We start from the raw sequence: 16,110 nt of genomic DNA, 5'->3' as shown, positions 1-16,110 counted from the left end.
TGAGGCTTTTGGTTCTGTAGCCACTGAGTTGAATCCTTGCTCCACTATTTATTAGCTAAAATGCAGTGGGTAACTTTACTTTTTTATGGCACAATTTTTCTCTTCTGAAAAATGGGAATAACAATAGTACCAACCCCATAGAATTGCTATGAGGATTAAATAGATTAACACACTTAAAACAGTGCCTGAAATATCACAGACATATAATAAATGATATTTGTTATAATCTTATTCTATACATAAGTGTGAAAAGAAAAGCATTCCCTGGTATTCAGAAGCTAGCCTGGCACTCACAACTAAGTTTGGTGTTCTCCCACCGAACATAAACCATTTTCTGAAACACTAATGTCAGATAAGAGCATTCTGTAACTGTGATGGTTTAAGATAAAATTAGGACCACTCCATAATCATATGTGAAAACAGACAAAACATGAACCCTGTCCAAACCACAAAAAATGACGAAGCATGTTATCCTGGCTAATATGAGGACAGTTGTGGTCTTTTAAAAACGAATTACGGCTGGGCGCGGTGGCTCATGCCTGTAATCCCAGCACTTTGGGAGGCTGAGGCAGGCGGGTCATGAGGTCAGGAGTTCGAGAACAACCTGGCCAACATGGTGAAACCCCGTTTCTACTAAAAATACAAAAATTAGCCAGGCATGGTGGCCAGTGCCTATAATCCCAGCTACTCGCGAGGCTGAGGCAGGAGAATCGCTTGAAACCAGAAGGCAGATGTTGCAGTGAGCCGAGATTGCGCCACCGCACTCCAGCCTGGGCAACAACAGCAAAATTCTGTCTCAAAAAAAAAAAAAAAAAAAAAATTACAGCTTTAGCCTTTAGCCTCATTCTAGTCTTTTCTCCCTCTAGAAAAAAGATTAAGACACTCAGACATAAAACTACCCCTGCTTCCTAATGGCACCCAATCTGGTGTAAGCCCCCCATATACACAACCCACAACCTTCCCCCAAATTACTTAACACAAGCCCAAATCCTATAAGTGCTTTCTAACACCCCCTTCTTGAGACACCTCTTAGTTCTCCATGGTGTGTGTTCCTCACTGCAACACGAAGGAAACCCAGTTTGGCCAACTACTTGGTGTGGTCCTGGTGGTCTTTGGCAAGAGGACACTGACAATGTATATACAATGTTTACTTTATTTTCTAAAATTGAGGATCATAGTAAAAATTCTGTTTGATAACCATTTTTTCCCATGAAATATTTCCCATGAACAGTTTCTCATTTCAATTATTATTGCTATAAAAGATTTTATGGCTGCATAGAATTCCATCATACGGCTGAACCTTAATTTAACTTATGCCAAGTTGTTGGTCATTTAGTTTTTAGAAATTTTACTACTATAAGTAACACTGAGATGAACATCCTGTACATAAATCTCTGGCTGTATCTCTATTTTCTTAGGATCAAATATCTGCCACTACATGTTAAGTAGACAGCTCCTAACAAATGCCTTTCTAATAATTTTTAAATTGGAAGGGACAAGGGCATTCCTTCACAGGGATTAAATTCTTTGATGAAATACTGACTTAGTCCTACTTTACAGGGATTTCTATCCTTTGCTACATTTGGAATCAGTTTCTTGGCTCAGTCCTGCTCAGATATGCCAGAGAGATTGATCATAATGGGGAGTAGGGATTCCAAAGAAAAGATTATTTGGTTTGATAAGGTTATAAAAAAAAAAGGCCTGCTCTTGTCTAGCAAATGTTTCAAGCATTAGCTTTTAATCACATCACCATTTTCTGCCTGAGAAACAACAAAATATTTTCATGCATATATCTTAAATCTAAACAGTTCTATGTCAACCATGAAATCACTATGCATAGCAAGTGATATAATACAAAGGATATTTGGGAGGCTGCAATTGAAGGTGGCACTTAGTGTAGTGTGCTTATTATTTTATACCATCCCAATCTCAATAGTTCTGACATATTGCCAAGTGGTGGGTGTTTCTGCTATCCTAAAAGATCTACGTAAGATTTCTTGGAGAATGGAATCGCATGCAGAGAAGGTAAAAGTATAACAAGAATTGTCCTTTCAAAGCAGGGAAGCTCCTCTGGCAAACATCAGAGCTCCCTTGAGTAGGGATGTCTCCATCAAGTATCTACTGGGTCTCAGCCATGTTTTGACCAAGAAGCTGTTTTACACACAGCAACACTGTACTCCTTGAAATGGTACCCAAAGAGATTTCTAAAGATAGTTTAAACTTGAAATCGAAAAGAGAAAACGTGTGGCAAGCCTTAATTGTTTGCTTAAGATAAAGAGACACACTGCTGTGTGTAGATGATCCCTGCTGAAAAGTGGGCTAATTGTTATGTCTGGGTCTTCCAGGATGTTCTGCCAACTCAGCAGGCTCTCAAAAGCATCATGAGTCTTTTAGAAGAATGATCCGTGATGATGTAAGGAAAAAAGTCATGCAAAATTATCTTCCTGAATAAACACAGGACTCAGGGCCAAAAGAGAGGTATTTCGTGTTCTGATTTAGGGGAAAACACTTTGGCACACACTCTCTGGATGTCTGTGCTCACAGTGCCACTGGTGAGTTGAGATGGCCAGCTCTAAACCTTTGCTTTGCTTTTTTCTCCTAACAGAAAGCATGGCCATACCTTCTCTCTACCTTTCAAAATCCTCCCTTCCTTCAAGGTTCTCTCAAAATCCCAGCTCACGCATCCAATAAACCTCTGATTGCCACAACAAACATTGATTAATTTAACTCTATTAACTCTGAGCGATTTTATTTGAATTATTTCAGTGAGCAAGTTCCTACTGTGCTTGGCAACTAGGAGAAATTGAGCAAAGAATTCCCTGCTCTCAAGAAATCTGTAGTCTAATATGGTTGAATGAAAATACAGAGGATTAAAATATGAACTTATATAAGGTAAATTTCAGAGAAGTCCTGTTCCATCAGTGTGTGGGATTCATAGAAATCATAAATGATATCTGGCTGGTCCCTGGTCTTAGAATACCTTTAGCCCTAGAGTTAGCATCTTGCTTGCTGTTTTGAGCTTCTTTGTTGTCTGATGTTTCATATATATATCTATATATATTATATATTTTTCCTATTCTCTTAGCAATGTTTTAATTTCCTACAGGCCAAGAACCTTACCTTTTGATTTCACCTTCAGAACTTTGGTGCTAGGATTGAGCACAGAGCAGGCTTGAGTAAATGCATGTTAGTGGCTTATTAGAGTAAAATACACAAATCACTCAAGGAAGATAAGGATGCTGCCACATTCAGACAAATTATTTTTAAAATCATTTTGTTAGAACCAATGATCAGTTATTTTTTAAAAAGTAGTTCACAATTCTGATTTCACATAGTCAAATATTTGTTAGTCCACATGAGAAATTCGAGCTGTAAATAAGATGGATGGGGAGTGCTTATTTAAGAGAAACCCTTTAAATTGGATGTGCATATTTTAATATGCAAAGGAATGTTGCTAACTATAAATGAGTATCTTTTTGCTAAACTGTGCTGAATGGGATACTGGTTCAGACACATTTTACAAGGAACACTTAGAGGCGCTTGGGACATTGAAAGCAGCAAAGTGTATATGCATTTAAAGACTAATCTATAACTCAAGTGGATGGGCACGTAATTGTGTTTCAGCATGCATCAGCCTGCATCCATCAGTGGGCTGGGCTGGTGTCTACTTTCTCTTTCTTCCCTTGGGGTGGTCCTAAAGTTTTAACTTGGTCAAAGAGGATGAGCACTGTATTCTGGAGATGCCTGAGTAATGTCACTTTCTTAATAGCAAACAAGGCACAATTCAGGATTTTCATTAAGTCGCGCTAGTTTCCCCTCTACTGCATCTATATGAGGAGAGTTTAGGTACATTGCTCACTTTCAGCACCAGGGACAGATCTGATATAACCTAGCTACCCCTACCCTTTCCAACTTCCATCACTTGTAAGTTGGTTTTAGAAACATTTTAGAGCTAAAGAGGTTCTATAAAGTAATATAATACAGGAGTTGATCATCTTTTTCTAAGCCAGGCCAATTAAGATGAAAATAAATTTAAATTGGTGGGCCACTAATCCAATATGATCATATTTCAAATTGTGTCCATTACTTTTATACCCTTGTGATGTTTGTATGAGGAGGGAGACATTTAAAGAGAAATGTTAGAAATGACTCTAAAATATAATCTCTTGCAGTTAAGGAGTAATCGTGCTGAAAATTTACAGGAATGATAGAAAATGGGAAAAGAATATTTTTATGCATTTCATGTGCCAAGGTTAGCCCTAGGCACTTTCAAGTGTCTAGCCTATATAATTTGCAAAATCACTCTGTGGGCTATTAAGCATTGTCAAACCCATTTTAAAGAGAGGAAATTGAGGATTAAGGAGATTAAATGTCTTGTGCAGGGTTACACCGTAATGGAAGTATAAATAGAGTGCAGGACTATCTGATATCAAAATCCATGTTTTTCCATTCACTCATTCTGCTGTTAAGCAAAAAATTACTTGATTCCATTTCTAAAATGCCTTGACTAGATTTAAAAACGTTCTAATCAGAAAACATAATATGCCATGAATATTATAAACAATTTAATGTTATTTCTGTATTTGCTATTCATTTAATGGTACTGTAAAATGGCAATATTGTGGCCTATCCATTAATCGGGTTTTCAGTGTTTGGATTCATTTCTAATGTTGGTATTCTTCAGAGGAGTTTTGTGGACCAACAAAAATATTGTATGGAACCCAAAGTGTTTGCTAATCTAATCCAACCCACTCTTTTTGCAGATGGCAAAACTTCTGCAGTCCTTGTCTGAATTCTACCAAGAAAAATCCCTCAAAATGTTAAAACGGAAAACTGTCAAGTGGTTCCAAAATACATAACAGAAAAAGGAACTGAATAGACTCTGACCTTATGCATGTTAAAATGTTTCCATTTTTTAGTTGTTCACCAGTAGTCGTGATATTGCTAAGGGAAAGCTTCTTTAATTCTCTTCCTTTACTGTGTAAAGTGAACAGAGACCATTCTAATCACCAGATCCATTGTCTTACGTTTGAACATAGGGGACATAGGAAAGCAGGGGGTTTCCTGATACAACTCTTAGCTTCGGGGCAGTCTTTCTTTGATGTTTATATATTTAATCCTTTTAAAACTCGTACTCCAGAGCATAACCTAAGAACAAAGCACTTCATCCCTTCTGTTATTAGAACTGTGTACTTCTTGCTTTGACTTTTAAAAATGACAGAGCTACAAGGCATTCTGTTCCCCGTGGCTGATCACTTCCTTCTCATAAATGGCATTATGTTGGTGAATTAATTAATAGTAAAATCTGATTTACATATTCACAAATATTAGAATTGTAGAAAAGTTAAATCAGGAGGCAGCTCCAAGGAGAGGCTAAGTGAGGGAAGACCAAAAAAAAAATCAAAGCTTCCTTTTTTAGACAAAGCACAGAACTTGGCATTTCTAGGGCTGCCCTGCTTCCACCTTCAGGCATCTTCTGAATATTGTAAAGGGGATTATTCTGGACATGGAAAGCTCTGTTCTGCCATGGGTTGAAAGGTTTAGCCTCAGGTGAATGCCATTACCTCCTGCAGTGTGCTAAGCAACAGGAACTAAAGTAGTTTGGGTACTGGCCTAGTCATCAACAGATAAGGTCCTTCATCTGCTCTGTTACATCACTGCAGTTAAGATTTCTATCCTTAAAATGAGAATAATGAAGATGATGATTATGCTATCTCCCTCCTAAGCAGGGTTTCAGATGCAAAAGTTGATGATAAATGTAAAATGCTTTGAAACAAACACATACATTATTGGGCCTTCTAGGTCCAGGACGCTTTGCTAAATGCGGAGCATGAAGAGATGTAAAGACCTTGCCTTCAAGGTGTCCACAGTGCAGTGGAGTGTGGCCAACAAGTGAAACAAGAAAGTTGTGTAGTGTGGCAAGGACTTTGTCGTGCTATGCGATCAGTGAGAAGGTTCCTCTAACCTAGCCTGAAAAGCAGAGTCGGGCAGGGTGGGGCGGCGGGGTTGGAAAAGTTTTAAAGAAGATGTGCACAGATGCCATCTGGTGCTCCATCCTTATCCCCTCCCCCCACCCCCAGAAGTTCATTCTAGGTAGTTTCCATTTACACCGAAGTCTTCCTGCCTCTCTCTGTCTGAGCTGTTTCCTGCCCATGAGACACACTAGAAATGCCAGAGAGCTAACACCTCTAGAAATGACCTTAAATTAATGAGGGATAGGATAAATACCCAGGCTTCTTTGCCTTGCAGTGGGACAACTCAGAGATGTGTTTCTCACAGGCTCTCCAAGAATTCCAATGGAGTGGAGCCCTCATTGTCCACAGCAATAACACACTCATGCTCATTAACACACCCTTTATAAACTTTTCTCTCTTCTCTGTCTCCTTTCTCCATTCCGTTACTCTGCTTTCTGGGAATCTTCTCTGAAATAAACCTCTTGCTTCCACATATTTATTTCAGGATCTGTCTTTAGTGGAACCCAACCAAACACAGGAGATGACATCCAAATGGAGTCTCAAAGGTTAGCAGTTAGTTAAGCCTAATAAATGTGCTGGTATGTAAACTATATTTCAGTAAAGCTGTTAAGTAAAAGAGTTAGCTAACCCACCTATGGAGAGAAAGAATATTCCAGGCAGCGGGAATAACATTCGAAATTATAAGGATGGGATAAAGGGCTTAGCTTGTTTTCGGAAATATGAATAGCTCAGGATGGATAGGCAATAGTTTGGAAAAGTATACAGGAACTAGGTTAAAAAGGAACTTATAAGTTCAAATAAAGAGCTGGGTTTTTATTCTGGAGATGACAGGGAGCCATTTCAGGGCTTTAAAGAGTGTTTATGGCCGGGTTTATGTTTGTTTATGTTTTACAAATCTGGTGGCCACATAGGAGGTGGATAAGGGAAAACAAGACTAGAGGCTAAGAGACCAATTAGGAGGTCATGATAATAGCTATGACAAGAAAGGATTAGGGCCTGAAGCAAGGTAGAGGCCAGTGGGATGGAGACAAAGGGAAGAGTTGATATGTTTTTAGGGAGATAGAATTGGCAGGACTTGGATTATTGAAGAATGGAGCTAAGATACTGCATCGTGATTTCTGATGACATAATGTCATTCCAAATAGCCATGCCAAACCATATCCAACCCCAGAAGTATTAGTTTATTTTTTATTTTTACCAAATTCCACTGAAGAACAGAATTTCTTATCAGAGTGAGGAAGGAAAAAAGGTGGACTGTGTTAAGCTCTAGACTATGACAAATAGAGGGTGATTATGATATTTTGGGAATGAGAGCTGGACAATGGGGACCAGCATCCTGGAAAATGGTCTGGAGAGTCCACAAGGTAGAGGCTACGATCCATTAGATGAAATCCACAGTGTAGAGATTCATGTGGGTTAATAAATGTCCTTCCTTCTCAAATAATTGAGTTAGATTTTAGGACCAGTTGCTTGCGTGAGACAACTTCATCTGAAGAAGGAAAGGAGGTAAATCTGGAAGAAGAAGAAGGAGGAGGGGGAGGAAATGATTGGCTTTCGTGGGTGAGAGTCTCTGGAAAACCTCCTGTCTTTGGTTCATCTCAATTCTTTTTATCTTTATAATGCAGAGCTGGGGATTGGGGATTTTCATTCTGATGACCTGCTAGAATCCATCCCTGAAGGTGACCAAACACCATGCACTCCATACACAAGGCCCCTATTATTACCTGATGGCATCTTATACTTCTGTTAGGAAACACACACACACACACACACACACACACACACACACACAAGCTTGCTTGCTTTAATTTACACAGTTAGCAATCACATTGAAGAAAATAGGACCAACATTTTATAGTATTAGACACTCATTCTTTCATTGCCCCGTTGCCAGGGCACTATAAATATGAGACCATTTTAATGACGTATTTTTAGTCCTATTATAAATGATGCTGGTATGAACATTTGTGAATAACATTTTATGTGGACATAAGTCCACATTTCTTTTGGATATATACCTAGGAGTGGAATTGCTGGGTCATTTCATAACTCCATGCTTAACATCTTAAGAAACTGCCAAACTGTTTTCAAAAGTACCTGAACCATCATACATTCCCACTAGCTATGTTTTTGCTGTTATATCATTATATATTCTAAATTTTTCTCTACTTATTACTAGATGTTAATTTCACAAACCTTTGCAATCTCATTCTTGATATATCTTTAAATTCTCTTTCTTGTAAAAATCATTTAAAAAATATCTTAAAATGTTACTTGAAAATCCCCATACTATCCTAATAAGAATTAGTGAGATTGTCTAGAAAGTGTATTGGATTAGACCAGTGTATTACTTAGATAGATATGAGAAGCTATTTGTTTAGGGATCCTGAATTTCAGATTCACATGTCCACATCTTGCTGTGGCACCTCACATCTATAGAATCTCTAATGAAGGAGTAAAGTTGGATTCTAGGGACCACTCATAGTCAGAAGGGGAAAGAAAGGAGGTGGAGGCAAAAAGGAAGTGGAAGACTCAGAGAAAGTTGTGAGAAGACCACAAAGATTTATATAACACGCCCACTGTTATGGCTTTGATGTAGGCAGAAGGCCAATGTCTGAGTTACAATCATGGGTCTGGTTTGGACCCCCTTGGAAGCTTGTCCAATTCATGTCATCCTCTTTCTGCAGTTCAAACTACTCTTCCCAATTTACTTCTTTTGGTTTCACCCTACATCTATCCATCCAGTCCCCATCACTGTGGGCAGTGCATGATGAGAAAAAGTAGGGAGTGGGAAAAAGAGGAAAATGAGAACAAACGTGTTCATGACCCTTTCCCTACCTCTTTGCCTCCCTATTTATTATCAGTCTGGTAGGCATACTGTTTAGTTTGCCTCATCTGGAGAGATAACACTTTCGTCTCTATAAAGCAGTTAGTATCACCTAAGCCACGGAAATGAACTTCCCTATGGAACAATAAAGATGAAATAAGGTAGTGACAAAATCCCACAGGAAGGACTATTAACTAATATTATTAAGTGATACTTCCTAAGTGAAACATCCCCTCCACTGTAATATTTCATTATTAATAGTCCTTGGGAGTTTCAAGAAAAGAAAAACCTTTTTATTTCTCTGGCTTGGTCTCCTGGTATTCATAATGGAATCTAGGCTATGCTTTATGATGCCAAAAACCACTGGTCAATCCAGTCAGTCTTTTAATAGAACAACAATCAGCCACATTATTTAGTGTTACGTAGACAAACAGCTATTTGAATGGAATATTCACATGCAAATCAGTTATTTTGACATCATATGGGCACAGTCCAAGTAAATATTTAAATACTAATTGAAAATCATTAATTGGAACCATATTTGTTGACTATCTCATATATACAGGAATATTTCCCATTTAACAGATGGCTTCGTATCAATCTCATCTTAGAAATTAGTAAACACAGATTTTCCCAACCATGGAACAGAAGTACATACATAAGAAGGGGCTATAAGCAAAAAGCAGCTTTTGTTAAAATAAATTTGATTATACATACTTGAAGTTTCCAACATGATGTTATGAGAAGGTAACTTAAAGAAGATAACTCTGGAAACCAGGGCAGTGGTAATTCTTCAGCGGTGGTAAAATTATCTGTGGAAGAGAGCCCGTGGCAATACAAACATTGAAGATCTTGGTTGTTAATCTGTTGTGCTAGTTTCCTAGGACTGCCATAACAAAATACCAAAAACTAGGTGGCTTAAAAAAAAAAAAAAAAAAAAAAAAGGAAATTGATCATCTCACAGTACTGGAGGCTGGAAGTCCGAGATCAAGGTGTGGGTAGGGTTGGTTCTTTCTGAGGACTGAGAGGAAGAATCTGTTCCATGCTACTTGCTTATCTTCTTGTGGTTTGTTGGCGAGCTTTGGCTTTCCCTGGCTTGTAGATTCATTATCCTGATCTCTGCCTAGATGTTCACATGAGGTTCTCCCTGTGTGCCTGTCTATGTCCAAATTTACCCTTTTTTTTGAGGACACCAGTCATATTGGATTAGGGGCCCACCCTACTCCAGTATGACCTCATCTTAACGAATTACATCTGTGATGAACCAAATAAGGTCATATTTCCAAATAAAGTCATATTCTGAGGTACTGGGGGTAAGGAGTTCAATATAGAAATTTTTGGGGGGACATAGATTTATAAATATAAATTTTTAATGTAATTCAACCCATAACATCTGGTAAGAGATCAATAACACCTTCACAGAGGCCCAGCAGTCTCCGTGATCTCTGGCAAAAGTCACTTTTGATTGGATGTTTTGGGGTGGAGGTAAGGGCAAAGTAGAAAGACTAATCAGTTTTGTATAAATCTGCTGTCAAGTGTATGCCAGGAACATATAATTCTATTTTTTTACTTAATGCCCTCTGATACCTCTTCTCCACATTTCAGAGGAATGGGACTAAAAGTTGCTTTAATATTTGGGGTCTGAGAGAAACTCAAACTTTGGCAAAACTGTCACAGTTTTTTGAGGGTGCTTTAGGTCTCTTCTAGGCTTGAAGATTATAATATGATAATATTCATACTTTGGGTGTTCACATATTTTCCAGTCCAACTTGAAGTTTTGTGTCAGAAGACCCACAGGTATTTTCTTTTACTTTGTATAAAACTGCTCTCTGCTACAGGAGGTATTTTCCCCACCTCGCAAGAATTTTCATTTTCTTAACTTAACAGATGCCCTCTCAGAATCTTCCCTTCTCCTTTATTTGAAAACATGTGCCCTAGTTTCCCAGCTTAACTGCCACATCCTTTTGCCCCACCAGCACTATGGCCATCTCCATCCCATCCTTACCCTAACGTGACTTTGTATTTGGATTTGGGAGAATCACTTGGCTATTGTTTCCCACCTGGAAAAAAGGAGACCCAAGTCATCCTTTTAAGTATCCTAAACACCTAGGTTAGTTAGCATCATCATGTCTGAGTGATCAGCCTTTGCTGTAAGTGATGGATTGCACTTTGCAAGGCTCTCTCTTTCTTGAGAAAATCACCAGCAGTGTCCTGGTAGACTGTAGACTTTTTGCGAGTAATGTCACAGGATATATGTATCAGTATTACGCTATCCTCAGAAGGCACCTTGCTCTTACCTGTGGTAATGACCACCCCCATCTTGCTCTCCTTCATTTAATAGCTTCTTCAGAAGTGACTCCTTTTAATTACTGCTGATTTTTCTTGCAACGATCTAATAAGAAAATCATAGAGGCTATGTCTGTGTGATGCAGGACCAATTGTAGGGTCAAGTCAAACCATCGAGCAATTTGGTGGGAGAAAATTGTCAGGCCAAGCTTCCATTTGACACTCTTGACTACGTGTTGTATATGTTTATAAATACATATTTAATGATTGGATGTTTTTATATGGTATATACAAACAAAATCATGTTCCTTAGGTGTCGAGTGAAAGTTATTGAAGTAAAACATGGTTTCCTCTTTATACAAATCACTGACTAAATATTTATTATAAGCCCACTGTGTGCATCACTTAGGGGATGCAAGGAGGCACAAGTCCAGATTCCTGTTCTCAAGGAGCTTGATATCTTGGTGGGGAGTTAATATTCTTCATTCATTTCACAAATATATTTTTAAAGCAACTAATACGTTCCAGGCCCAACTTAAGGACTGATATACATGCTAAGTAAGCCACCATCCATCCTTATCTCAAGAAGGTTATAGTTTACTGGAGGATGTAGAGAAGTTGACAGAAGGTGGCAGAAGTTTGGTAAAGACTTTAGTAGAGGGAAGCACAGGGCATTATAAGAGTTGGTATTAGGGGTATCTAACTCAGACTGAGAGGGAACATGGAGGCTGCCTGGAGGTGGAAGATAACTAAGACCAATGTATGCCAGTGCCATAAGTGTTCATCTCTGACAGAGGGGTGCAGGCATAAGTGGCATTCAAAGATGGGGGAGGTCACCTCATGTCGGGGTGATGAAGGGGGACTTCATGGAGGAGTGGGACTTGAGATACACTGTGAAAGTTGATGCCAGAAACTTCACAGACCTTGCTGCGTGGTGCCTGTGCATTGTGGATACTCTCTGTAGGGAGTTCTGGTTATGAGACAAGCTTGGGGTCTAGTATGGTCAGAGCAAGATATAATTAGCCAGAAGAGAAGGGCTTGACATTGAATCTGATAGTTAGTATTGCTGTCTAAATGGTGTCACCTGAGTCAGCAGTATGTGTGTGTGTTAAGGGGTTGCTATGGAGAGGTATCTCATAGAAGATGGGTATGGGAAGCGGGTAGTTGGCTACTTTGAGTTGATGAAGAGATATTGGTATGAAAGGACTATTCTGGTATATGAGTTAGGAATGCTTTTGTCTGCAAGTAATGAAACCTAACTAAGAATTGCTTTAACAAAAAAGGATTGCCTTTCCCTGCATAGCCCAATGTCTGGTGGTATTGGTTCAATGGCTCAAAAATGTCAGGGCTGGCATCCCTGCCATCCCTGTGGCCTTCCCACCACGGTCATTGCCTCTGTTCAAAATATAACTGTTACAGTTCTAGACACATCAGGTCTGTATTTAAGACATGAGGGAAGGGGAAAGTTGTGTCTGTTCCTTTAATAAGGAAACGTAATATTTTCTCCAGTACCACTCCAGTAAATTTCCTTTTATATCTGAGTGGTCAGACTGGTAGCACATGGCCACTCCTACACTCAAGAGACATTGGGAGAAGATTAGCTTTTTCAGCTTCTCAGAGAAGGGAGAAGGAGGTTGGAAATGAGTGTTTGGAGGACCAGGCAGGAATGTGTGTGCGTGTATGTGTGTTTGTGTATGTTTGTCTCGTAGGGGTGCCAGGGTTACTTGTGGCCTAGGCTGGGGGTCCGGGGCTAGGTGCAGTACCAGGAGGTGCCCTCAAGGGGGAGCCAAAGAGAAGGCCACTCAGCTGGGCCCACACACGGTGCTCATTTCATGATTCTTTGGGGTAGCTCTTCTCCACTATCGTTCTTTCTCTATCCCTTCCGTGGATCCATATCCTCTCCCTGCCTCTCATATGTTAGCTTTTTCTCGGATTTTACCATTGGCCTCTTTTCTTCTCACCCTGCCCACACCTGGAGAGAATTCAGGAAGCTGACATTGGAAGGGCCTGAGATTCCTGCCAGGCCTAGCAGCTGTGCCAACCGTGAACTCCCTCTGGATAGGGTTTAGAGTTGCCAAGTCTCACATCCCAGTTAGAGAGGAAGAAAATAACAGGGGCTTGAGTGCCCAGTGATGAGTGCCAGGCCAGTGTTAAGCCAGACTGGAGTCACCCTGGGATAAGAAATCTGTTCTCTGAAGACAAGCTTGATTTCAGACTTCTGTATTTTCTACATGGTTTCTGCCTTTCCCTTTAGTGTCTTGGTAAACTTGTTTTCCAGAAACGCCATGCTTGTTATCTCAGAACTAAAAGAGAAAGGGAAATTGCCCACCCCATGCCAATCTAGACCCTCATCCTTACATCTCAGTCTAGGAATAGAAGTCAACCCATCCTAGCCTGGGATACTGGTAGGAATGGGACAGTTAGTCAGGTAAATACCTAGGAGGTAACCAAGAACACGAGTGGTTTCTACTGTCCTCTCAGTAGAATTCATTTAGAAGTGATTCATTCAGGCCGGGCGCGGTGGCTCATGCCTGTAATCCCAGCACTTTCGGAGGCTGAGACGGGTGGGATCACCTGAGGTCGGGAGTTCGAGACCAGCCTGATCAACATGGAGAAACCCCGTCTCTACTAAGAATACAAAATTAGCTGGGCGTGGTGGCGCATGTCTGTAATCCCAGCTACTCGGGAGGCTGAAGCAGGAGAATCACTTGAACCCAGGAGGCGGAGGTTGCGGTGAGCTGAGATCGCGCCATTGCACTCCAGCCTGGTAACAAGAGTGAAACTCCATCTCAAAAAAAAAAAAAGAAGTGATTCATTCAGAAGTGATTCTCAGCCACAGTTGCTAGTGAGATTGGGGAATCGAAATTTCTGGTGAAGTTGACATGTGGGGATTTAACATAAAGAAATACTTTGCCCTACTTAGTGGTTTTTTAATAATTAAAAGAAAAATTTGTGGGTACATAGTAGGTATATATATTTATGGAGTACAGGAGATGTTTTGATACAGGCACGCTATGTGAAATAAGCACATCATGAAAAATGGGGTATCCATCCCCTCAAGCATTTATCCATTGAGTTGCCAACAATCCAATTACACTCTTTAAGTTATTTTAAAATGTACAGTTAGTATTGAGTATAGTCACCGTGTTGTGTTATCAAATAGTAGGTCTTATTCATTCTTTCTGACTATTGAGTGGTTTTTAATCACAGTGTTGATTTTGCATTTCAGAGAGCATTAAAGGTGGGCATAAATGTTTATTAAAGGGCAGCATGGCCTACAAAAGCTAAGAAACACTGCTAGGGACAGTGAGGCAGGGCAGAGTGGGGCGTCGCGTGGAGACAGGTTAGACGACAAACCTTGTCTGAATTGCAAGTTGCCTCAGATGGAAACTTCTCTTGTACATCAGTGAGAAGACTTGGCCACTTTGCCATGTGACCAAAGGTGGGAACTAGGGCAGGTATTCTTAGTCTTTCTGGTGCCAGGCACAGCTTTGGAAGGTTGGTGAAGCCTATGAATTCCCTCTCAGGAAGTGTTTTTAAAAGCATAATATAAAATATACTGGATAACAAAGGAAATCAATCATATCAAAATACAGCTACCAAAATATATTTTAAAAACAGGTTTGTGAAACAGTAATACAGGTGCTTCTTTATTAACATGTTAATAACAAGATGTAACAACAGTTGTAATAACTTCAGTACTTTTGAAGTAGTGTGAGTGTTAACAGGATTTTGAGATATCTGCAACAACTGAAATGTGATATGAAAATAACTGAATTTTATTGGCGACAAAGTCACAGGCACTGCTAGTGGTGCTGCAGTTTGTTACCTACGTTGATTTAAAGGAAATGCCACATTTCAGTTAGAGATTAGAGGGAACAAAAGTAAAAGTTTCCCATCCAAGTTAGAGACTCCTGAATTCTACGCACAGGCCTCATGAGGGTCTACAAGTTTAGAGCTTCTGGCTACAGAGAGGAGAAAAGAGGGGACTATATAACAGCAGATCAGTGTTGCAATTAGGGAGGGCAGGCAGAAGACTGGACACTCACCATGGAGGCAGCTCTGTCATTTGTCCTGGGCAATATCCCTTTTTTTCATGAAGGATCTGGAGTAGAAGCTACACTCCATTTCCTGGGTCTGTTTGGACTCTTAGATAGTGCCAAGCTCAGGAAATGGTGTCGTTAATTTTTTATTGACAGTGGACTTGGTTATCTTGCAGGAGATTAATGGACTTAGAGTCTGGTCCAAGCCTATGAGGGTTTCTCGTAATGGTTTGCTTCCAGCCTTTCTGCCCTGACTGGATGTGATGAGCATTCACACAGTGTCAGCCAATGTAATATTTATTTGCCTCCTCCCTGAATGTTCTAAATGAAAAGCCAACATCAAATGCAAAGGAAAAGGCGCAAGAAAAGGATTTGGCTCTGGGTTCTCCCTCTTTCTGGATATGGCACTGGGAGTCTAATTACTAACCCACATCGAGCCCTCGGTCAGAAGGTCGCCTCAAGACTCATGTTAATCATTATTCTCATTTTGCGAACAGAAAAGAGAACTAGCCATGGGTTCAAGGCTGAAGAGCATGTCAGGGTGTGATGAATAGAATTTCCAACTAAAGAATCACAATCCTTCTGGCCATGGATGCAGTTAGTTACACTTTTGAAAAAGCATGCCTACCAGTAAGCAAGTGATTATTGAGTGTCTAGCACATGACTAGCAAGGAGAGGAAGGGGGTCTCTTTTAGCTATGATGGTCAGGCAAGGCCTCTCTGGGGAGGTGAAGTTGGAGTTGAGAGCAAAATGAAAAGCAGGCTGCCATGCAAAGATCTGGGTGAAAGCACTCCAGTTAGAGAGAATGGAGTGTAGGAATGCCCCGACATAGCAGCAAATGGTGAGGGATGGGAGAAGGCCAGTGTGCATGAGAGGGAACACGGCAGGTGACGGAGCTGGAGAAATAGGCAGTCCCAGAGCTCAGAGGGCCACGGAGGAGTAGGGATTTTGGTCTGGTTGAAATGGGAAGTTGTTAGAA

At 40.1% G+C, this 16,110-nt stretch overlaps 1 annotated feature.

Moving 5' to 3' along the window:
* Positions 12,781-12,950: a silencer, noted in NCBI's record as "silent region_20702". NCBI's record gives its function as "represses an Ori minimal core promoter by ATAC-STARR-seq in GM12878 lymphoblastoid cells {active_cell/tissue: GM12878}" and the evidence as "EXISTENCE:reporter gene assay evidence [ECO:0000049][PMID:35858748]".

This window comes from Homo sapiens, chromosome X (assembly GCF_000001405.40).
Source record: "Homo sapiens chromosome X, GRCh38.p14 Primary Assembly".
Taxonomy (NCBI): Eukaryota; Metazoa; Chordata; class Mammalia; order Primates; family Hominidae; genus Homo; species Homo sapiens.
Note: the sequence above shows the minus strand (reverse complement) of the source record. Positions and strands in the feature narration are given on the sequence as shown.